At 44.9% G+C, this 24,939-nt stretch overlaps 1 protein-coding gene across 56 annotated transcripts in view, besides 2 other annotated features; it reads right to left on the reverse strand.

Moving 5' to 3' along the window:
• The window catches only part of KCNMA1 (potassium calcium-activated channel subfamily M alpha 1), a 768,207-nt gene that overhangs the window by 435,813 nt on the left and 307,455 nt on the right, over positions 1-24,939 (reverse strand). Inside the window, exon 1 of one of the 56 annotated variants that reach the window (XM_047425200.1) lies at positions 14,115-14,282. The exons of the other annotated variants lie outside the window; for them this stretch is intronic. Within the exon in view, the coding sequence (XP_047281156.1) occupies positions 14,115-14,153 (39 nt within the window). The 5' untranslated portion in view covers positions 14,154-14,282. Of the gene's footprint in view, positions 1-14,114; positions 14,283-24,939 lie in introns of those variants that run through there. 56 annotated transcript variants of the gene reach the window in all.
• Positions 8,870-9,417: an enhancer, noted in NCBI's record as "OCT4-NANOG hESC enhancer chr10:79074042-79074589 (GRCh37/hg19 assembly coordinates)". NCBI's record gives its function as "activates a minimal SCP1, AML or CMV promoter by ChIP-STARR-seq in naive H9 embryonic stem cells {active_cell/tissue: H9 hESC(naive)}" and the evidence as "EXISTENCE:reporter gene assay evidence [ECO:0000049][PMID:30033119]".
• Positions 19,456-19,998: an enhancer, noted in NCBI's record as "NANOG hESC enhancer chr10:79084628-79085170 (GRCh37/hg19 assembly coordinates)". NCBI's record gives its function as "activates a minimal SCP1, AML or CMV promoter by ChIP-STARR-seq in naive H9 embryonic stem cells {active_cell/tissue: H9 hESC(naive)}" and the evidence as "EXISTENCE:reporter gene assay evidence [ECO:0000049][PMID:30033119]".

The following is a 24,939-nucleotide window of genomic DNA, read 5'->3' on the forward strand; positions in this document are numbered from 1 at the left end:
TTGAAAAAAGTAACAACAACAATGAAAATTGGCTCTAGATCACAAGCCAAGGAGTAGAGCTGGATTCTACCCAGTTCTCTCTGACCTTGTGCTGTTCCTCTTTACATCTCTTCAGGTTCTCAGAGGGGAGCTCTCTCTACCAAAGGTTTAATGCAAGACCCACATAGTCACCTAGCTTACGGAAAGGACAGGCCTGAAGACTAGGGTAAAATTAAGATGATAAAACAGTGAACAAATATTTTAAAACTATGTCCAGGAGGAAAGCTAGAGGAAAGAGCCCTAAGCCCCAGCTGCTCCATAGGCTACCTGTCATTCTCTTTCCAAAACCTTTCAGGGGTTTAAGACCTAGAACCACGTGTCTGACACCACAGCCCTGTAAATTCTGTCCCCAAGAGTCCTGAGGCTCTGCGCAAACAAAATTAATAGCCTGCAAACTCTAAATGGGTGATTACAATCTATAAAGCAGCCCATAAAATGACATCATGGGGATTCATATTTATTTTCTCCCACTGATTTCCACTATAAATTTGCTTGGTTTATGAGTAGAAACAGTTTCTTCTGCTACGTGCCTGGGCATAAAGCTCACCTAAAGATGGAAACCTAAAGATGTCTGGGGCTCACTTCACCCCCAGTGGTGCTCTGGTCAATGGGACACACAGAAGAAACCTCCCAAGGAAGCTCTGGAAACCCCAAAGCAGCCACTGCCTCTACAAACATGCCCTGAGAGCCTGCTGAGCTGCAGGCTTCTGTGCTAGGTCTTGAGCAGTAGCCAACAAAATGGGGGTGGTCTCTGCCCTCAGGGACCTTGCAAGGGTCCCTGAAAGGGAAAGAGGAGACAGACACTAAACAGAAAACTACATGGATAACACATGGGGGTTCATTAGGGAATGCAAAGGGAAAGTACAGCAAGCTATGAGCTGTGGAACAGGAGCAGCTAACCTGATCTGGTAGGGGTGATGCCCAAGAAGGATGAGTAAGTGGAGGCTAAGCAAAAGGTGGGGAAAGGGAGAAGAGGAGAGACATTCCAAGTAGAGGGATCCACATGGGTAGAGCCCAGCTGTTTGCTGCTGTTGCAGTTGAGCCACATGAGTATCAAATAAAGAATGACAAAAATTCTGGGTCAGACAACACATATAGGATATAATAAGATTAGGTTTTCTTCCAAGTGCAATAGAAATAAATGAAGAGTTTTAAGAAAAGAATTAACATGATCAGAAAACCATCTTAGAAAGATTCTACCAGCCGCAGTTAGAAGAATGGATTTGACAGAGAGGGGGTGTTTAGGAGGGAATGTCAGCAGATTTGTAGGACACTATTGCAGTTGTCTACACAAGAAGTGATGGTGGCCTGAACTAGGTAAGAATAAATGGGCCACAGTGCTATCTAGGAGGTAGGACCGATTAGGGCTGTCAGACCCAGCTTACGCAAAAAGGGCAGGGCATTTAGGAGGTGCACAGTAGATAATGGTGATCACTGACCTACTGGCACTTGCAAATGCTTTGAATCCAATCTCATTAGCCAAGGTCAATACCTGGAAGCCACTCAGAAGCCAGTATTGGTACGAGGTCAAGTGACCACCTCACCAGTGCAACATAGCACACGCAGCTCAAGTCATCCCCAGACCAGTTGACACTCTCAACTTGCAAAAGAACACATGAGGTAGAATCCCTTTCCTTTAATTTAACCCAAGCTCTACTACTGCCTCAGTTCAAAGGTCATCAATTGCAAGATCAGCAGAAGGGGCATGGCTCCCTGAATCCCAACAAGGCTACAAGGGTTTTGGTTTTACATAGCTCATCCAAAGCCAGTCTCTTCTGGCCTTCAGAAATTTCTCCCTCTTCCAAGCTCCAAGGGCATTTATATCATCCCTGTACATGCAGACACAGTCCCCAACTTACAATGGCTCAACTTATGATTTTTTGAGTTTACAATACTCCAAAAGCAATGGGTATTCAGAAGAAGCTGTACTTCAAGTACCCATACGACCATTTTGTTTCCTACTTTAAGTGCAATATTCAATAAATTACATGCAATGTTCAACGCTTATCACAAAATAGGTGTTGGGTTAGATAATTTTGCCCAACTATGAGCTAATGTAAGTGTTCTGAGCACATTTAAGGTTTAAGGCTAGGCTAAGCCATGATGTTCAGTAGATGGAGTCTCGTTCCGTCACCCAGGCTGGAGTGCAGTGGCGCGATCTTGGCTCACTGCAAGCTCCACCTCCCAGGTTCAGGCCATTCTCCTGCCTCAGCCTCCCAAGTAGCTGGGACTACAGGCGCGCACCACCACGCCCAGCTAATTTTTTTGTATTTTTTTAGTAGAGACGGGGTTTCACCGTGTTAGCCAGGATGGTCTCGATCTCCTGACCTCGTGATCCACCCTCCTCGGCCTCCCAAAGGGCTGGGATTACAGGCATGAGCCACTGCACCCGGCCTAAACACATTTTTAACTTATGATATTTTCAACTTATGATGGGCTATCAGGATGTAACACCATTGTACGTTGAGAAGCATCTCATTCTACCTTGCTTAGATTCAATTTGGAATCACAACTTAGGCTGCCATTGTTGTCTAATAATTGCATGTTCATTAACCTGTTTTCCAAAAAGACTTTAAGCCACCTTAAGATAAGCACAGCATACCCAGCGACAAGGTGCTGTAGATGAGCACCTACTAAATATCAGAGAAAGAAGTGAATTGACTGGGCCCAGAAGAGAGGAAAATGCCAGTCTGGTGATGCCAGACCAACAGAGAGGAGTGAGTGGGAGGACAGGCTCAGCACTGAACTATCTAGAGTTGCCCTTGAGTCCTAGCCAAGATGGCTGTCACTCCCCAGGTGCCCAGAGATGGTGGCTTTCTTGAGCAATTGATCTGAAAATAGGTCCCCTAAGCAGACCTTGTCACTGAAGTTCACACACTGCCCAAGCTGAGTGCCATGCTGAGCATAGCCCAGATGAAATGATTGCTCATCTTGAGGGCAACATCCCAGACAAACCAGTCCCTTTTATGTCTCACTCACTATGGAGGGAAAGCCCCTGCTCTCTTGCCCTCAAACATTAGATGGGCTTACAGAAATGCATTCCCATTTCATAATGCCTGCTGTGATTCCAGGTAATTCCTCTAAGTGCACTATTAAATCCCAGCAGCTGTTCCAGATAACAGCAAAGTCGACAATTCCAGCTGCCGCCTTGTCAGGAAATGAAGCAAAGCAGCTGTAAGTTTCCTAACACTGAGACATGACCAAAATGGCAGCATGAGGGATCACTCATGTGCAGGTTTCTCCACCGCCATGCAGATAATGTGTGTCCACCATCACACATACATTACCTGCCCTGAGTCTACTCTGATGTCTGAGGCTGGAGGACTCAAAACTGTGGGCCATATTCCCCTGAGATACCCAGCTACAGTTATCTTTGAGATCCTCATGAGAAAGAATCCCAAATTAACACTGAGCCCCTACCCATAAAGCATGCTCAAGGTGCTGGAGAATTGCTTAAGGCCACACAGCTAAAATGGCCGCCAAGTCAGGATTTGAACTCTGATCCTGTGAGCTCCAAAGCATCAAGCTTCTCTATCCTTCACTGTTCCCTACTGCTCTTAAAGCCCTGTATTTCCCTTACCCAAAGGAGCCCGGCCATCTCAACAGTATTTTCGCCATCTGGGCCAACCACGTGCCGGCAGAGTGCATAAATACCACTTTTGTGACCAAAACTGTATTTCCTCGGTTGATCCAACATCAGCATCTTTGCACCTGCAACTTTCCTTAAGAAGAATTTTTCCATGATGTGATGACAGAATTTGCAGCCAGCAAAGGGGATCATAGACATACATGTACACACGAGCCCACAACCATCTACTTCAAAGCCTCCCAGCCTGAAGTACGCTCTCCAGATGTCTCTATATACCAGGTGCTTCGAGGCTGGCCAGCATCTCCCTGACAGCAGAACAAGTTAGTATAAGGAATTTCTATTTAAAAGCCAAGTTCTACAAAAGCTAAGCCAAGCAAGGTTCTAATAAACAGTAAAACCGCCACGTTGTGACACATGGCTTAAAGTTGGTCACTCACCTAGGTGGGTCAGAAAGACACCAATGCTTTTCATTTTCCCCAGCACCTCAACCCTGGTTAGTGCTAGGGTGGGATCCCTGGTGGGAGACTCCACCCACACTGAACCTGGCTGGCTTCACTTTTCCAGACTGGTGTGTTCTCCAGGCAAATATATATTTTCCCCCTACCCACCTCCCTCCGTGTGACTCAGCAAGCAAGTGCTGGGTAGGAGGAGTGCTGGTAGGGTGGGGGACGACTCTGTTCTCATTCCAGGCTCAAGGAACAGCCTCAGTCATGGACAAGAAGTATAGGCAGAGAGTCAGGAGACCAAGGCTCTAGACCTGTTGTTGATGACTAAGATGGCCTGGGATGAGTCCCACAGCCTCTCTGGTCTCAGTTCCTCATCTATAATTTGCAGGTTGAATGATACCTGAGGCTCTGTGATTGCTTGAGTCAGCCAACAGCTCAATCAGCCACACAGAAACAACCTCTCCTCTTCTCTCTTCCAGCCTGGATAAAGCTTGTGGGGCATGAGATTTATGGGTTTGGTGCTGAATTGCATCATGTATGAGGCAGAATTTGAGTTGGATTTTCATGGGTTGGGAGGATTTGTAAAGGCATTGAAGGCATGGGGGGACATGAGTGGCATAAACAAAGAAGTGGAGTCAGGAATGTGCTTAGCGTCTTTGAAGGAACCACTAGGGATGATAATTTAGACAGCGTGCACTAGTACAACTAAACCAGTCTCTCAAATATTGAAACCTTTTGTACCGGCTGGTAAACAGCCAATGGCCTTGACTTAGGAGTGCCCCCTCAGCTGCCCCTGCTGCTGCAGTGCCTATCCCCCATCCCAACCCCATGATCCAACAACCAAAGGGTTAATTTCTGAGATCTCGATCCAAAAGGTGCCCATACCATGGTGATCCTAGTCAGCCCAAAGCCACACCACACATCTAACAAGCATTCCTGTGTGCCAGATACCATCTTAGGCACATTAACATATGTTACTTTTTCTCCCCTTCACACTAACCTCTTCAGATTAAGGAACTGAGGCTTGGAGCAGTTATGTGACTTGTTCAAGGATGCAATAACAGTATTTGAACAAAGACCATTAAATCCAAGTCCAGAGCTCACTTCTTAAAACCCCAGCTGCCTCTGAGCAGCCTTGGCCCGCAGACAGACGAGCTTTGGAGGAAATAGGAGGAATTTCTCCCTGCTATGGAGATTGTTTTAAGATCATGAATTGTTAGCGGAACAAGTTGTCGTGGCAGCTTATGAAATCACCCTCTTCTGCGATTTTTATAAGTAAGAGGGGTTAGAATAGGCCCAGAGACAGAGGGAGAGATGAAATGACCTAATAAAACCCTTTCCAACCCTGGAACACTTCAGCCCCACATGAACAGAAAAGTCTATTTATTTTCAAAGCCCCATTTTAACTCCTGAAGTACTTAGGAGACTTAAATATGTCTGAAGGCAAAACAAGTTCCCTCTTTTTCCTCTTTTCCTACCACTCCAACTCTTCATTGCAGATTTTCTTCCTGCAGGTCTGACAAACACCATTTTTGGCCACAGCTGCTGTCAGTTCAAAAGTTTGGCTCTGGGGTCTGAAGACCAAAGTCTGTCCAAGGCTGATCACCTTCTGAGAAAGACTCTTAAATTCTGTGAAGAGTCTCCAGCAGAGGAGAAATTGGTTTAAAAAAGCAAGAAGAATCACCACAATGCATGCCCACTCCACATTACCAAGCCTGCACAACTCATGTTAGGGGATGTCTGCTGCTCCTCCAGCTTTCTCCCCTGGCAAATACAGTGGTGGTCCCTGAGTCCCCATTAGGGCCCAACAGCAGGACCAGTAGCAGCCCCTGTCAGAGAAACCACAGCCAGTTGGGGAGAGCGAACTCATACTATAGGCTTGTTTCCATGGCAACAGATGCTCCCTCCTCCCTGCTTCTCGGCACCAGGGAAGGACAAGGAAACCCATGAGAAGACAGTGGCAACTAGGGGGAGGAGGAATGGCAGCAAGTCCCCTTTCTTTGAAACCCAGGCAGCTGCTGCCCCACATGTTGATGGTTACAGCTCTCAGTGACCTTGGACAAGTTATGCCCCAGCTCTGAACTTTGTTTTTATCATTTAAAAAAATAAATAAATAAAAAAGATCAAGAGATTGAGAGAGAGAGCAAGCGAGCTGGGCCAGAGATGATCCAATAAAGCTATTTCAGCTCTGATGTCCCAGAATCCAATGATTTGTCTAACCTGGCCAGTGATTGGGAATGGGTTCACCTCTTCTTGCAGCCCTCTGCAGGAGCATGACATTCCGCAAGGCTGGAGTGGATCTGCCTCTCAGGGACCTAAGCCTTATCCATTCCCCCAGTCATGCTGCCTCCCTCACAATGGTCTGCTGTCATTTCTCTGAAATCATCTCAGGAGATCTATCCCATGCTTTCCTAAGGGTGCACGGGTTTCCTGGGGCTCACACAAGCCATCCAACATGACAGGTGAGCCAGAATGTCATGGCACCGCACCCAGCCACTTGCCTCCCACCTCACTGATGTTGTTGGATTCAACCTGCAATTCAGATGCACACAGCCCACTAGGCGCTAGCCTGCTATGACTGCGCAAGCGAAGGAACTCCAGGGAGAACACCCAGAAAGGTCATTTTGTTTGGTATGAAGAGTGCTAGGGTGAGGTGAGGGGCAGGGAGTGGGACAGAAGCTTCCCAGGAAAAGGGGAAACCATGCACAGCAGCCAGGAGCCATGGACTCCAATACCCCAAGGTTTGGAAAAGTACTTGTAATTTTGGCTGATTGACCAAAAGTGGAAAGAGGAGTGTAGCATGAGAGAAGGGAAGAGAGGAAGGACAGAAAAGTGGACAAAGAATTCCAGGAGATGGCCGGCCGCGGTGGCTCATGCCCGTAATCCCAGCACTTTGGGAGGCCAAGGCAGGCGGATCACCTGAGGTCAGGAGTTCGAGACCAGCCTGGCCAACATGGTGAAACCCCATCTCTACTAAAGATACAAAAAATAACTGGGAATGGTGATGCACATTTGTAATCCCAGCTACTTGGGAGGCTGAGAGAGGAGGACTGCTTGAACTTGGGAGACGGAGATTGTAGTGAGCTGAAATCGTGACACTGCACTCCAGTTTGGGCAACAGAGCGAGATTCTGTCTCAAAAAATAAAGAATGCCAAGAGGCATAAAAACACGGCAATGCTTCCAGGGCTGGATTTAGGGGAGAAAAGGGAGTACTCATTGTTGGAAGTACAAGCCACATGCCCAGTGCTAGCTTTTATGGGAGTAGCAGGGGATAGCTGAGGGCCAGGTTAGTCACTGAGCCCTCCACATGAGCCTGGTGGGGGTGTACTTGTTTCCATTGTATGCATGAAGAAGCAGCAACTCAGAACTACAGCATGATTTCACCTAGTAGGTCAGCTACCCCTTTTCTGGAGTATACAATCTTGCTGGGGGACAAAATAAACAATCATGGACAAATTACCACATGATTTAAAAATTGACACACGGCCACTCTCACAACCATCCTCAGAAATCCAGAAGTTCAGGGAGGAACAACAACAAATTGGACTTCTGAGGACTTCCTGTTGCCAGTGGACTTTAAGAAACGTTCAGCCTCTCCAGCGCAATTCACCCCTAACCTATCAGACTCCGCGTTGGTCTGTGATGGCTCATCTCTGGCTCGGAAATGGTTAAACAGTTCATTTCTGTGCTTGAATCAGGAGCTTCCTTAAACGCTAGCATAAAGCTGGTCTACACATAAGAAATCTGATTAGCTCCCAGCATTGGGCAATCCCAATTATTATGCCCTGCAAGTTGCTCTGCAGGATTAGCGGTCTGCGGAAGAAAGGAATCAATATACAACAGTAATTAGGGCTCCTGATGCCGGTAAGAGGAGCACTTCTCTTCCCCTTAAGCCACTCACGACAGAGTCCATGAGGGGACAGGGCCTTCACAGCACTGCCAGTCTCTGTTTTCTAGCATATGTTCATTTTGACTTTGGTTTTTATTTACTGAAGGATGTGAAATTCTCTGCTACTGGGCCAAGACTTTAGGGCTACATACGTCACCCAAGAACAGCGAACAGGATGTGTCATGCATGGGACCTTCCTTCCAAGGAAACTCAGGGAAAGCAGATGCTAGGATCCTGGCAACCCCAGGAAACCTAATCAGTGTCCCTGTAACCAAGAGCTCTTTGAGAACAGGGGCTGTGTCTTATTTACCTTATATCAATGTGGCCTAGCACAGTACCTGGCACATGGTAAGTAATGAACGGGATGGATGAGGAAGTGAATCAATGAGTAAGTGAATTAATAACACATGGTTTTCAGTTTGTCAAAAACTTTATCTGTGAGCCTGCTGTGCACAGAATTTTGTACCCTAATACTGTAGTAGCAATTTACATTGGACTCACAGGATTTGGGGGTTAAAGGGAATTTGAATATAACCCAATCTGGTATTTTTAAAATCACAGGTTGCAACCTATTAGTGGACCATGAGATCAGTTTCATGAGTCCTGACCGTCATTTTATAAATGAAATGAGAATGGAATGAAATGAAGTGGAGTGGAGTGGGATGGAATGAGATGGAACTAGCAGGAAATAATAGAATATTCCAGAATAGAAACTATCAAAGTACATCACATGTAGTAAAGGTGAGTACAGGAAAATTAGGCTTGTACTTGCAGGGCATGAGTGTGTGTCTATTGGGTGTACAGTGTCTTAAGGCCAAAAGCCACTGATGAATCTAACCATTCATCCAGTGATTTTCACTGCCCTCAGAGGCCACATCAGGGACAAATAATTTTCCTTTTTGATCCCCTCTTGTTACAGGAAATGAATTTCATCCAGAAGCAGCCTGTTTCACTTACAGACTGTCTGGCTGCAGGAATTAGGGCAAATCAGAGATGTTATAGAAAGAAAAAGAAAATGTTTCCTAGATCAAAACACCCATCTAAGTGCTGGGGCCATAGAGATGAGATCGATTCCATTTTCCACATGACAAACATTCAAAGATTTTAGAATGTCAATTGCGCCCCTGCTGAATGGCTTGGAGAAGAGCAGGAATAGTTCTAGTTATCCTAACAATTGCTCCTAAGATGTTGCTTTGTACCTGCTCGTTATCCATCTTGATTGTGTTTATGTAAGTTCCAGCCCATTCATGACCCCTGGTGTGTGGCATGAAGACCATCACATTTGAGTCTGGTCTGAAGCTTGTCTGGGTGATGGCTGAGGTGAACCCATGTTAGCTCCTGGTGCTCACCAACTCTCTTCCTAAAAGCTCTCACATTATCTGTTCAAAAGCCTGCATCCACCTAGCAGGGTAATTTCATCATCCCTGCCCTCTCGTCTGTGAATAAACAGCTTGAACTAATAGTATTTTTCAAATGTTTTTGACCACAACCCTCAGGAAGAAATGTACTTTACAACATGGTTCAGAAGACACCACCACACCCCCAACACACACACACACACACACACACACACACACACACACACACACGAAGCAATGTTTACCTTTACTATATATAATGGGATGTACTATGATGTTTTATTCTATTCTGCTTCATTTCTTATGATGTTGGTGATGACCCATTAAATAGATTTCACAAGCTACTGATGGACCATGACCCACAGTGACACTGAACTAGATAGTACCTAATAATCTGAAAAGGCAGGGAAGGGCATCTGGGAAGAATTTCACACCAAGCCCATTTCTTTTCATTATGTTTATTTAGCCATGTGCCTACGTTTGGTTGTGTGTAAAGGAAGACAATGGCTTAGTGAGCTGCAGCCAGGCTGTTTTGGGGACTCACAAAGGAATGGTCACAGTTTCCTGCCTGTCTCTTATTGCCCCCCAGGCAAGCTCATTGAGAAAAGACAGTGTGAGTCTCGTACAGAGCATGCTGATAACTATTACAGATACGTGATTATTCTCGGTTCTGTTGATGATAACAACATAGCTGCCATCTTGTGTTTGTTTCCTCTTAGGATTAGAAAGCAAAAGCAATCTGAAGATTGAAAGTCAGAAGCAAAGTTAGAATGGTGATTTTTTTCCCCCAACCCAACTTGGAAGAATTTGTCTTTGGAGAACCAACCTAATCAAATAAAGTAGCATCAATTTACTGGAGACATAATCCAACTTGCATAATTGTCCTGGCTGGTTTACACCACAGCTGTTCATATGACATGGTTCATTAAATAATAAAGTCTTCATCAGGCTCTCCTGCACTGGGCTGCAATTCTTTTCCCCCACACCACCAAAGAAGTGCTGCCTTTATTAGAATGCAGTGCCACCCATTGGCAGTGGGATAATCAGGGGATTTGTTTTTATGTGACATTCTATTAACCAAACATCATAAACTGCATCAAGTAAAAGCCACTGCATTTTCCCCAGTGGAGGATCCCATCACCACATAATCATTCTAGACTGTGGGTTCTCTGTGGGCAGGGACCACATCCCTTCATCTTTATATTCCCAGTGCTAAGCAAAGTACTCAGCATTGGTGGGCGCAAGATAAACATCTATTGAATTAAGAGGAAAATATCTCCAGTGTGGGATTCAGAAGAGCAATGCTTAGAAACCTGGAGGCTCCCTGGTTGCAATGAGCATTTAGTGTCTTGAATACTGTGTCCCTTTCCTTTCTGGTTTATTAATTTTCCACTTGACTGGACCAAATTTTCCAAGTCCACGTGATAGCAGACAGGACTCTCAAAATCCCCTCTGGCCAACAGAAGGTTCAACAACACCAATTTTGCTGTCTTCAAGCTCAGGAGCCCTGCTGGGCAGCAGGGAACCTGTGCCAATCTCAGTCTTCCTAAAGAATCCCACAGTTAAAAGAGGCCACCTGAAAATGGGCTGCTGAGAGGTAACGATGACCTTGGAAATGTCCTCAGGTTTGGGAAGTCAGCAATTTGGTTTACAAAGCATGAAAAGGAAGACTCGTTGTAAAATACAGAAGATTTACCAGCTTAAGTAGTTTAGACCAACTCAAACTTGAGCTTGAGCCTGCACGGGACTCTCCTGGAGGGATTGTTCAAGCACAGAGGGTTGGCTTCACCCTCAGAGTTTCTGATTCAGGAATCTGCACCTCTAAGATCCAGGTAACGCTGCTCCTCCAGGCACCCCACTTTGAGAAGCATTGGTTTAGCCTGCTTATTACAAGCAAGGCTCTAGAGCTGGCTATCTATGCTGGAACCCTGAACCCACCACCTCAGCCAATAATTTTAGGCAAGTCATTTAAACTTTCCCATCCCCAAGATGCAAGTGTCAAACCAAAGCACCAAGAGGATCTTTCTCACGAGATTGTTATGAAGGTCAAAGGAGGACACCCACTGCTTAGGGGTGTGCTTGGTAGGTAGAAAGAGCTTAATTAAAGTTAACCACATAAAGGAAAGTAGGGATATGGTCTGGGGGAAAGACTGCTGGTCAGAGAAGCCAGATATGCATTCTAGCTCTAGCCCTGCGACCCTGACTTGCTGTGTGACCCTGGACAAGTGACTTCTTTCTGGGTCATGCCCTCATTCATAAAATGGGGACACTGGACATTCTATAATGGACTGAAGGTGCCTTGGCGCTAGAAGCTTCCAAAGCTCCTTGCTCCTGACTCTATCACACAGCGTCACGTACCTGTAGTGCCTTCCCAATCACCCCCTACCACTTAGACTGCCAACTGCCAGGCCCCAGCAGGATAACTCAAGACTGCCTTGAAGACATTGTCTGGTTCCTTGGCCTTGAAGGGTCTTTCCACTTGGCCACAGGTGACCACCTGACTCACCGAATGTAGTCTAAGGAACCCACTTCCACCTGGGAAGTGCAACCTGGGATCCTTCTTGCTGAAACCCTATTGCACTCCACCAAGATTTTGTTCACGTTTCATTTGTAGCCAGCTCCACTCATGCCTCTCATTGATATTCTTTTGTGGTTACATTCCAGACTGGAAGATAAGGGAATTCATTGAAGTGTTTAGAAGGGACAAGTGTGGTTTCATCGGGAGTGTTATGCTCAGATGAGTATTGGAGGATTAGTTGGGGAGAGAATCCACACTCGCAGAGGGAGATGAGGTTCTGAAATTTATTATCATAGCCTGGTTGTGGGGAAGGGAGCCTCAGGAGGAGGGTTGGAAGCCCAAATTCCTAATTGAAGATGCGAAGCCCATTTTCATCTTATATTTTTATTAGCCCCATAGCAGCCCACTGCACTGGCTTTCTGCTAACAGCCGATGGCAGGGAGAGGATGCTTGTTGGCACAAGGCCGCTGTACATTTCATTTTTGTCAGATGCTGGCAAAATTTCCTCATCAGGGAAGATAAATTCGAGGTGATATTAATAAACCTCTGAATGCAGCAATCAGATCTGGCTGGCACTCTTAATGATTCCACCAGCAGTGAGCCATTTCCAGCCTGAGGAGCTTAGAGATTCACGGTTTTGTTTAAGGCATCCCAAAAACTAGAAATTGTTTGCTTGACTCCTGGGTTGAGCCCGCATCTTCAACCTGGATACTCCCAGGTGCCCCAAGTGAGGCAGTAGTGATGGAAGAGAGGCATTTACAAAATAAAGTCTTGGGTAAATGTTACTCACTATTGTTTTGTACCCAGAAAGTGCTAAGTGTCTCATACTATCTCGTGTAATTACCATAGGCTCAGTGATGGAGGTACTATTTTTAGGTGAGGTCACTCCAACTTAGAAAGGTTATCATTAACAATATTGGCATCATCATATTGCAATATTGACTGACACTAAGTGCTTTCTATGTGACTGAGCTTAGGATTTTACCTGCATTTTCACTTTTCATTTGCACAACAAGTTATCAATTAAGCACTGTGATCGCCAATTTACAGAGTTGAAAATAGAGGCTTAGAGAGGTTAAACGTGAGGCTCAAGATCAGACTCAAGATGCATAGCCAGTGATGGAATCCATGTGTGTTGGATTCTGAAGCTCATGCCGCCATGGACTGTGCTTGTTACGGCTCACACCACCATGGACTCTACTGTGGAGGCACAACCAGAGGGCCCCATGGGTCTCCACTTGTAGAAGGCGGTTCACCTATCATCCTACCTTCTAGTATGAAAGCAGCTTGCACTCATAGGCAAGCTTACAGAAGGGTGCAGCCCCAGCTCTTGACATAGAACCAAGCACCTGGTAGGCACCCTTTCAATGTTTGATAAATAAATGAATTGATGGTCAGTCCCTACTCACGTCCTAGAAGATTTGTGAAAGGACAGTTGAAATTAGTCTCCTATGCTGCTGTCCACCTCTTGGTATCTTGGTGGACCTATTCACCAAGGGCCAAATGTCCCTAAGCACAGGTGAGAAGAGTTGAGGAAGGTTTTTGTATCCTACTCTGAGAGCAGTTGGAGACTTCGTTCCTTGGCTTAGAAGTCAAGATTGGATGCAGAACTAGGCAAGTTGCTTTTCTGAGCAAAGAGAGTGCTGGCCCACCCCACATCCTCCCCTGGCTGCTGGCCCGCTGCAAGCCTTGGCACACAAGAGAAGGAGGCAGAAGTGCATTTGTTTATTCATTCACCCACAAACATGCCTCAAGCAATTGAGCACCTACTGAGGCCAGAGTAGTTTTGGGCTCTGCGGAGAACATACATATAAATAAGAAACCATCCTTGACCTTGAGGAATTTATAAGCTAGGAGGAAAAATAACAGGTACATTAACTCAGGTGTCAGCTGTCTCTGGCTTCTCCAGTGCCTAGGCCCATGTATACAGCATCTTGTTTTGCCCTGAATAACTTTCATCCTGAAGGTTACACTTTTTTGAGCTTCTCCCTCTTGTCCCTCATCCCACCCCATCACCACCCCATGCCATTGCTCCAGATACAAGCAAAAAGGAACAACACAGACTGTTGAAGATTTCACAGGTAAGGCAGAAAAGGAATTTAAATCACATATCTCATGGCAAATGCTCTAACAGATTTTGAGTTTGCCTTAGTTCCTTCCAGGCCAAAGCACAACCAAGGATTTCCTTCCCTGACCTTTTCCCACAGAGTTCCTTGAGGTAGAAAGGTGGCTCCAAGAAGCCCAAGTCCTTCACTCGCCCTCCAAAAGCCTCACCTTTTCACTAGAGCAGTCTTCACCCCTTGTAGATGTCATTAAGGATATTCACAAATACTCCTATTACGTCCTCTTTCTGGGCAATTGTAGGATTGCACTTTCTAGTTTCCTAAAGTTAAGTGTGGCTGAGTGCTGAGTGGTTTGCTCTAGCCAATGTAACATGAGCCACATGATGCGTGACACTTCTGGATGGAAGCTCTTAGCCAGAGCAGTTCACCACTGCCTCCTGCCAAGACGGTGCTGGAAGCAAAGACCAAGAGGAAGTTTCCATCAATCTGGTTTGCTGAGTGACTCTGATGAACAGCCTCCACCCTCCTACTGGCCTCCTACCTTCATGACTGATATATACTGTATTGAGCAAGAAATAAACCTTTCTTGTGTTATGCCACTGTGGGGGCTGTCTGTTACTGTAGCAGAGCATGGCCTCACTTGACTGATACTGCCCTCTTCGAAGCAGAACAATTCTGCTTTGCTCTGACCTACAGTCAGACTTTCACACTAAACCAAGGTGGGCACTCACCAAACAAAAGATTCTCCAGGTAACACAATCTACACTCTGTGGATGGAAAGTTATGGCATCTTTTGATGGTGGAGCATTTTCCTTGAGGTCTTACCCCTTACTCCATGAGACTCATCAACATATTTTTTCTAAACAAAATGGTGGAGAAGAATTCTGGGGAAAGAATTCTGGGGAAAGAGTGTCTGGCACAAAAGAAATATGCTCTGGGAAGTGCATGAAAAAGGTAAGTGTCAAAACAGTGGAGACACAGGAAATAGTAGCATTAATTTGGACATAAGATGTCTTCAAGAAGAAAGTGAAGTCCCCCAAACTTTCATGCAGGTTTCTCTGCAAGGAAGGAAGGGGCTACTCCCCTAAGAACCTAATTGGAATGTGGCTCTGGGTGCCAAAGCTGAGGCTGAGACCCTAGGCACACTCAAAGAAGGAAGAGGGAGCTTCTGTGGCTCTCGGTGCTCTGCTTCTCTGGGTCAAACCCTTCTTGCCACACAGGTGTGGGAGCCTGAGCAGGCCAGTCCACTCCTGCCCTCCTTTCAGCCCACTCCCTGGGCCAGGATGCACACAGGTATGTATTCCCCAATTTGAGCCCTGCCTCACTTCTTCCTCGTTGTTACCTGCCAGCACCACCACACTTGAGAACAGCAGACACATTGAACTAAATATGATATGATGTAACTCTAGCCTAGGAGTTACAGAAAAAAACCCAAGCACATTTCTAAAATATTCGAGAATCCTGTGTTGAATGTTAAAGAAACCAACCACATAGGATCTTTATAACACACCAAGGCAGGCACTCACGGCCTGTCCTGAACAAATCCAAATCTTTTATCCCTGGAACCTACGTCATTGTCCACCTCCAGGAATCTGTGCTGTTGAGCTGACGGCTCCTCCACTACAATGTTCTGCTCATTCAAGACTCTGTCCTCAGTGGTTCATCTCCCTCATTCACATCCCCCATCAAAATATGTCTGACTTGTATCCTATTCTTTCAGGGCCTTTCTAAGAAAATTCCAAATGTACTCTAGCAGCTTAATATTTTGCCTTCCCTAGGCAAGATGTTTATATTTAATCAAACAACTTCTGGGAATGATGTATGTTTAGTGTAAAGATATGCATTACTCAGAGTGGAAATTTTCAGTATGCAACAGATCATAATGGACAGAAGGCTCTTTGTGGAGTCCGTGGCTTCACCCTACATGCCATTCTATAATATATACCACATGTGCCAAATAAATCCCCTAAATACAGCTCCAAAAATAACATATCAGTATCCATTCTCAAGTAAGCGACTTCTGCCATACCCAGAGGAGAAAGCATCAGATTAGGTAACTCTGCTTAGTGGTAACATTCTCTAAAGATGAAAGCACTTTTCCCACTGACAGAAGCATGGCTCCAAGAAGCCCAAGTCCTGAGGATATTGTCAGTAAAACCACACACACAGGTCACAGCTTGTTATTAATCAATTAATTCTCAGCTTGCTTTGTCCCAAGTCATCCAGCAGACAGAACAAGAAGAGATTTACAAGCTGTGTGCATTTAAATTAATATTTTTAAATGGCATGAGTGTGCAATTAATACTTTCGAAGAACATGTCCACACCAGATCAGGCAGTGTCGGTTTTTTTTTCCCCTGTCCATATGAGTCTATTTTTAATTCCTTTCTTGGGGAAAGACAACAGTCCTAGATTTGTTTTGTTTTGTGTTTTTCTTCTGAGACTCAAAATAACCATGTTCTTTCTGCTTCAGTAAATCATTACTGCAGCTTGAAAGGGTTCCTAGAAAGTTCTAGTTCCATTCAGTTTTTAGGAGGAAAAGCAACCCAAACACGCCAAGAACTAGAAGCTTTATCCACAAGGGAGTACGCTTCAGGATGATACCAACTGCATTAATCAGGATAGACAAGGTTATGCTGCAGTAACAACTAAAACCTAAAATTCCAAAGGCATAACACTTAAACATTTACTTCTCACTCAGGAAAAGTCACTTTGGGTCTGGTGACTCTCCAACACAGCTTCCTTTAAAGAGATGACTCAGGGATTCAAGCTGATTGTATCTTGTGGTCTACAATCTCAATGCATGGCCTCTGCAATCACCATGAAAGGCCAAGGGAGAGCATGGAGAAGCAGGTAGAGGCATTTTACTGACTCGGACTAGGAGGGACATATATTATTTCTGTGCACAATCCACTCAACAACAAGGGGCCTTGGAAGCATGGGAGAGTCCACAAGTATTTGATGGTTATTAAATCTCTCTTTACACGGGTTATCTCATAGTGATGTTAAGAGACTTCATGATGTTGTTACTCTACTTAGAAACTCTTGGATTTCAGCCCTTGAAGACCATGCTCCAACTTCATCATCAAATCCTCACCAGAAAAGACAAGAGGATACAGAACACTGAGCAACTCACAAGATGTGTGCTGCAGATGTGTTTATCAGAACTCAAAAGTTTCCTCTCTTTTCTCTGTCCTATGACTATTCCAGGAGTGCCAGACAGAACTAGTTCTTACGCTCTGCGAAGAAAAGAGTGGACTGGAGGTGGGTCACATTGACATTTTGGTAAGAGCCCTACTCCTTAGAAACAGAATGAAAGTTGTCAATGAGGGGAAGGGAGTAAGGACTGGCTAAGAGTAGCCATGCTGGGAAGATTTCATTGCAAATTTTCCTCTACCTGGGAGCTGGCAGATAAACCAGATCATTGTTCCCAAACACTGGAAGGAGGACCGACTGTTAAAAAAAAAATACCCATGCTGGAGCCTAAATACTCTATGCTAGAGCCTGGCTATTGACATATTAGCAAGCATCCCTGGGCAATCCAATGCACAGTCATATTTTGCAGTCATTGCACTAAAGGAATATCCAAGGTCCCCACCAACACTAGGATTTCACAATTTATGAGCATTTTGAAAGAATTTACCCCTGAGGATTGACTTATTCAGCATTTAAATGGGAACTAAGACCACGTAATTGACTGGGACCAAACCAAGATCAGAATTCATAACCTCACAGCTGTTCCTCATGTCAACTCTTTCTATTCTAACACACTGCCATCCTCATTTTAAAAAAGGGAATGTGGCCTTGATATTCCCATAGATTGCTGGATGCATACTTCCCTGTCACCTTCCAGTAGGGACACAGGCATTCTATTAGCTCAGCAGAATACAGGGCTCCCATCCACATCTGATGGAAGGCAAAGGAGATGAAACTGGTCTCCATGTTGAGGACAGACTGGTACATTAAAGAAGCAATAGGTCCCCTCATTTGTACACCAAGACTCAAGAGTTGAATCTTTCCTTTAGTGACAAGTGGAAGTCCATGGAAGAATATTTACAGGCATGGAAGAGTGAGTTTGAAGTGGGGGGCAAATTCTAAAGAGTAAAGCCTTTACCAATGGTAAACTGTGCCCTTTCTATCCATGCCAGCTTGGGAACCCAGTTGAGAGTCTGAAGGAGCAGGACTTAGCTTTGGACCTGTGAGATTTCCTCTGTCCCCATCCCAACTGTGCTCAGGCCCATCACTTTGCAGGAGCATAATTTTATGGCAAGAGGTTCACCACATACCTATTGAGCTGCAAGAGGAGTGATATCAATGTGCATATAGTTAGGGAGAGCAAAGAGTGCTAATTTAGTAACTGAAGATAAGTTACATTGTATATGAGATGTATTTATATGCATTTTCTACTTCTCTCTCCTGCCTCCTGTATCACTATAAACCCTAGCAGTCAAGTTCCATGTCAGGCCTGTTGGATCTTTTTCCTGCCATAGAGGGAGGGACCTGGGAGATGGGGAGGGATTCAGGGATGACAGTGTTCCAGAGTTTGAACTGGGCATAAAGATATAGAACCATCCACTGGCCAAGGCTGTCATAGGTAAATCCTGCCTGGAGGCAATTTCTAGACAGAACATTCTGTGAGCTTCTAAATGATCCTGAGGTCGGTATGCAGATGCTGACTTACCAGATCTAATTTGGGAAAAAGAAGAGGGTAAGAAGTTATATCTTCTGTGGGGATTCTGGTGGTAAGGATGGGCACAGAAGCAAAAGAGTGTTTCCTCCTTCTCCAGAACATCTGGCTTCATTGCAAGCCACTGTGGGCTACTGGAGTAGATGGAGAGCAGACAGCATGGCACCAACTGAACACTGTGCCCACTCTCCAGACCTGTCCATGCAACCCACAGTAGTGGAGTGGCCACTCCAGGGTCAGGTAGATATGGCTTCCTTCCCAGCTCTGCCAATTCCCAGCTGAAAACATTCTTAAACTTTTCCAGTGTCCTGTAAAATGGGAAAACCAGACCTGTCCCATTGTATCCTAGTGAGAATTACATGATGTCATGCCATTAAAGTACCCAGTACCAAGCCTGGTACATTATAAACATCCAAGAGCCTAGGTCTTAGCTTCTTCACCTAGCATGACACCTCTCCCACCCAGCTTACTATACCACTGTGAGATGATAAAAGCACACAAGCCCTGTCAATGCTAAAATATTTATGAAGCTATAGAGAATATTTTTTTAAATTTTCAACCTGAATGTCTGATTTTTTTCTTCTGTATAGAGACAGGGTATCACTATGCTGCCCAGACTGGACTCAAACTCCCATAATTCTCCAACCTTAGCCTCCAGAGTAGCTGGGTGCCACCATGCCCAGCTTGTGTAAGAGCTTTTCTGTCACGTTCTCAGCATTCCTAGATGCATGCATCAGGACTTCAATTCATGCTTCTTCTTGCCTACAAGTGGGTTCTGTTGGTAGCTGGAAAGCCAGGCTATGGTGGAGGCAACAGAAGGAATACAGGGGTCCCCTTTCCAAACCTCCAAGTTATCTGGGTTGGGATACTACAATTTTAAGAGTATCAAGGAAGGAGCTGGAGAGAGGAACTTCTGGACACTCAGTATAGCTCTAGACTCTCTCTCTCTCTCTCTCTCTCTCTCTCTCTGTGTGTGTGTGTGTGTGTGTGTGTGTGTGTGTGTGTGTGTCAGAGAAAGAGAGTGAGATTGATTTTTTATTTTGAACTGACTAGGTGCCACCCCTTCATTACCATGCTGATTTAAACTGTCAAGACTGCAGCCTGGCCTGACCACTGAGGAGCAAAGACAATAGGAAAACAGAAGGCGACTCAGGATGCAAATGCCTCATTGTTACAGAACAATAAACAGATTCACCCTTTTGCTAAATGTCAGGTTAATATCCTCTTGGCACCAGCTGTGCCTCTCCCCTCCTTCCCTGCCACAGTGAGTCCAGGCTCCTGGAAGTCTGCCCTTCACCAGCCACCTAGGCTCAGCACTGGGCGTCGAGGAGAGCAGGTGTGGCTGGCACAGTAAATGCAAACACAACCAGTCCAACCGCAAAGTGGAATCAGCCTTTGCATGGAGTGATATCCTGGGACAGCCTCAAGCTCTGACTTTGGGGAGCTCTGGGCTTTGGGCTACAGCTTGGGTAGCTGACTAAGCCAGGGGATGGCACTAACACATGTTCTCCGTGTACTTACTCACAAGCCAAGAACAGGTAGGCAAGGAGGGAGGATGACCTTCAAGGCCAGTTACCAACAGGCTCCAAATGCATTTCCCATGGATGCCCACTGGGCCCATCCCCATTCCTCCCTCCACCAAGTCCCTATCCATTCTAACTTCTCATGATCGCTTCTTTCTGCCTTATCTCTGCATTGACATTGACACTGTTGTTGCTGGGGGGCTTTGCTGTGCTTGCCTCTGCTGCCCCAACAGGTCTCCTTGTCGCCATACCATTCTCCACAGTATCTGCAGAGTCTCCCCAGTTAGATGATCTGGCCAGGTCACTCCTTAACTCAGAATACTTCTGTAGCTCCCTCTGGCTTTTAATGTAAAGCCAAACCCTTAGCAAGCCACTGAGGAATGAGTTTGACCCCATTCCTCTGAACTCACATGGTCCTTTGAGTTTACCCTTTGCCCAACCCTTATTATCCAGGATGGGGGTTGACTGTTTTGGTTTCTTCCCCCCCATTTCTAAGGACAGGAACCATGCCTCTTACCTCTGCACACCCTGTGCCTTACATGGGGTATGGAACAGGAAATGTGCTCAGTAGTGATTGGAAGCCATTCATTCCTTACTCAGACCTCTCTACAAATTGTCCCTGAGTCTAACCCACAACTTCCCTCACTGCAAAAATCCTTCAGATTGCTCCTGACAGGACTGTCTTCCTCATCTCATCTGTTTTCTCTGTCCTAATCACTCTCTGGAGCTTAGCTCAGGTTCCCCCACAAGTCTCACCACCATGAAGCCTCTACACTGTTTTGTCTTCTCTAACTGCATCCCCCACGTGGAACTTCATAACGGTAGGCTTTGTAATAGTTACTTTACACCTCTGAACCTCATCTACAAGGATGGTTCACAATAGATTTGCCATAAATTTTAAATTATGATGCAATATAAATAAAGCACATAGCACAGAATCTGGCACACAGTAAGTGCTGAAAATAGATTTGTCTGATGGTGAGGACGAGCGTGGTGGTGGTGGTGGTGGTGGTGACAGTGATAATGATGATGATATCTCTGTTTTATATTGCAAGACCCAGAATGTCAATTCCTTCTTTGAGGGAAAGGGCCACTGCTTATAGTGGTCTTGACAAACTTCAAAACATATGGCCCAATGCTTATTTCTGGTGGAAGCTTTACTGACCATATTAATGCTATTGATAATATTTTCATGTTATTGGTATTAATCACGTTACCAGGGAAAGAGCATTGGATTCAAAGTCAAATGCAGACTTTCAGTCCTGTTTTTCCACTTTGGGCCTCAGCTTCCTTAGCTATAAATAAATGAGTTTTCCAGAGTTTTCCAGAATGATCTGTAGTCCTTTCTAGCAATGATAATTACGTGGTTATTAGTGAGACTAGTCCACACCAAAGTGAGCCTACACTCCATCCATATGGGTCATCCCTCCCCAGTATACCTGGGCCCCAAAATGCAAGCACACCATGGGGAAATGGAAGAAATTGGGACTTATGTCATCCAACCAACAGAACGCCAGTCCTCACTTCAACACACAAATGTTTTCTGTTTTAAAATCTACTCCAGCAGCACTACAATTGGCATTCCCCCTCCTAGCAGTGGGTTAGCAGCAGATGTTACAGCAAAATGATCCAGACTGGGGGTGATTATTAACCCTTCTGCACAGCATACCCATTTTTGCTTCTGGGTCCACACTTGCACACCTAAGACAAGTTCACCCGCCATCCCTGTCATCAAGAGCTTCACCACCTTCTTGTCTAGACAAGCTTGAATCCCAAGCAGAAGAGGAGACTGAGCACCATATCTTTGCTGCTGTTTTTGTTGTTATTGTTGTTGTTGTTGTTTGAGATGGAGTCTCGCTCTGTCACACCCAGGCTGGAATGCAGTGGTGCAATCTCAGCTCACTGCAACCTCTGCCTCCTGGGTTCAAGCGATTCTCCTACCTCAGCCTCCTAGGTAGCTGAGATTACAGGTGCCCACCATCACATCCTGCTAATGTTTTATATTTTTAGTAGAGATGGGGTTTCACCATATTAGCCAGGCTGGTCTCGAACTCTTGACCTCAGGTGATCTGCCTGCCTCAGCCTCTCAAAGTGCTAGGATTACAGGTGTGAGCCACCTCGCCTGACCAGTATCAAATCTTATCAAGTATCAACCACATCCTCCTATAAGGTGAGAAACCAGACCCCACTGTAAGGTAGGACTGCCCACAATGGTGTAAAGAGCCATCTGGGAAATAAATAGTAAATAGCCCACTGCAAAAAAAAAAAGTTTCAAGACAGACAAACCTGGCTTCTCTATGTATAGTCTGTGCGATCTTAGGTAAGCCACTTAAATGCTCTCTCAGTTTCCTCTACTATAAAGTGGGGATTTTTATGTCAACACAACCCCAGGAAATAGGCTTTGAGTATAATAATATTCACAAAGCACACAAATAGGCACTCTGAAGAGGTCAGCCCCTCCCTTTCCACCCTGAGGACCTTGTGGGAGTGCACACAACGTGACCTCAAGGTAAAGTGGGACTCTGCTCCACTGTTTATGACATAACTGGGTTGTCTTGCACATTTTAAATATCTGTCTGTGTCTCATTTTCTTCATCTAAAACTATTCATATCCCCAAGATTTGTTGTTGGGAATTAAACAAAACAATACATGCAAAACAGTACTTGGCGCACAGTAAGCACTCAATAAATATGTAATTGTCATCACCCATGTTATCATTATCATTTAATGATGCTGAAGAACAAGTAAGTGCTTATCACTTCCTTTAAATCTTGGCACCAACCACACTAAAATCTCAGGCAGGCAGGTCAAACTGCAAGTCAGAGGGCCAGTACTGTCAAGTCCCAACGAGGCCACAGGACCAGTTACCCATCCGCAGATTATCCTTGGAAAATGTTTAAAGCATCATCCACTCTGATGTCAGCAGGTGTGTGCTCAGGCAGTGCTAGTGTGACATCCTATAAAAGTCAGAAAAAAGGCCTCAAAGAAGATAACCTGAGCCAAGAACACAGGCGTAGCTTAACTAAAATGTTTGTCTACTCAGACACCTTGGCCCCTGTCCGTGGTCCTGAAAGAGACAAGTGGACAAAGACTGACGGGTGGTCATGACTTTTCTTTTTCCCTTTTGCAAATAGTTGAAGACCTCTTCTGATGCAAATGGTATCAACAAAAGATAACAGAAGAAAACATATATGGGAGGTCATGACTTCTGAGACATTTCCAAGGAGAAAACAGAAAGACTCTTCGACATCAAGTTCAAATAAACAAAATTATTGAGAATAAATATATATCTATATTTTTTGTTTTTGTTTTTGTTTTATTTTGTTTTTTTAAGATGGAGTCTTGCACTGTCACCCAGGCTGGAGTGCAGTGGCATGATCTCGGCTCACTGCAAGCTTCACCTCCTCAGTTCATGCCATTCTCCTGCCTCAGCCTCCCGAGTAGCTGGGACTACAGGCGCCTGCCACCATGCCCGGCTAATTTTTTGTATTTTTAGTATGGACAGGGTTTCACCATGTTAACCAGGATGGTCTCGATCTCCTGACCTTGTGATCCCCCTGCCTCGGCCTCCCAAAGTGCTGGAATTACAGGTGTGAGCCACTGCGCCCGGTCAATATATATCTATATTTTTAGTCATTGGGCTTCCCCACCTCTTATACCCTGACTCTAAAATCATCAAAAAACCCTTCATAATGCATACCAGAAATAACACAAATCACTTGTGTGGTCTTTGGCTACTGCTATGGTCTGAATGTTTTGTCCCCTCAAAATCCATATATTGAAATCCTGTCATCCAATGTGATATTAGGAGGCAAAGCCTTTGGAAGCTAACTAGGTCATGAGAAGGATCTCTCATGAATGAGACTACTGTCTTTAAAAAAGAGATTCCAGAGGGCCCTCTTGTTTCTTCTGCCAGGTGAGGACACAGTCAGAGGACTGCCATCTATGAACCAGAAAGCAGGCCATCACCAGGCATGGCATCAGTTAGCACCTTGATCTTGGATTGCCCAGTTTTCAGAACTGTAAAAAGTGTTTTTGTGTCAACCACACAGTCTAGGTATTTTTGTTACAGCAGCTCAAATGAACTAAAACACCTCCCCTCTGTTGGTCTGGATAATAAGAAATTGAACAACACGAATGTCCTATCCTGAAAATAATTTAATTCTTCTATTCCCTCATTTATTGCAAAGACATGACAGAAAATATTTAGTAGGAGCAAGGCTCTGAGATTTCAATCCTAACCTCTGATTCCAGTCCTAAATCCATCACTAATCAGGATAAGACCTTGGGCAAATTGCTTCACCTCTTTGTCCCTCAGTTTATTCATCTATAAAAATGATAACAAAAATAATACTTAGTTCATAAGGTTATTATAAAAATTAAATGAGATAATGCACCCGAATAGCTTAAAAAGTGCTTGCCACATTGTACAACCCCAGTAAGGATAAATGTTAATATTATAATTAGTTTTATTGTTATTATTATTGTTGTTGTTCCAAATTAGACGTAACCACATATTGGTTTGCACAGGTGCCCTTTCTTTGTACTGTTTCTAATATCTAACCCCTTCTATCCTCTGCCTGAGAAAACTGTGGACATATCACGTAAGATCTGAAGAAAGTTTGTTCACTCACCCACCCACCCACTGAGTTCACCATAAAAAGAATTCAGAAATTTCTTACAATGGGAGATAGTAAAAACATAATGGCCACAATTCCCAAAAAGCTGCAGAGAGCTTATACACCCTCAGTCCACATCACAACAGAGCCACTCTCCACTCCCTTACCCAGCCATGCTTGGGGCCACTCCTACTCACTTCCTCATCA

The sequence above is a fragment of the Homo sapiens genome, chromosome 10 (genome assembly GCF_000001405.40).
Source record: "Homo sapiens chromosome 10, GRCh38.p14 Primary Assembly".
In the NCBI taxonomy this organism is placed as follows: Eukaryota; Metazoa; Chordata; class Mammalia; order Primates; family Hominidae; genus Homo; species Homo sapiens.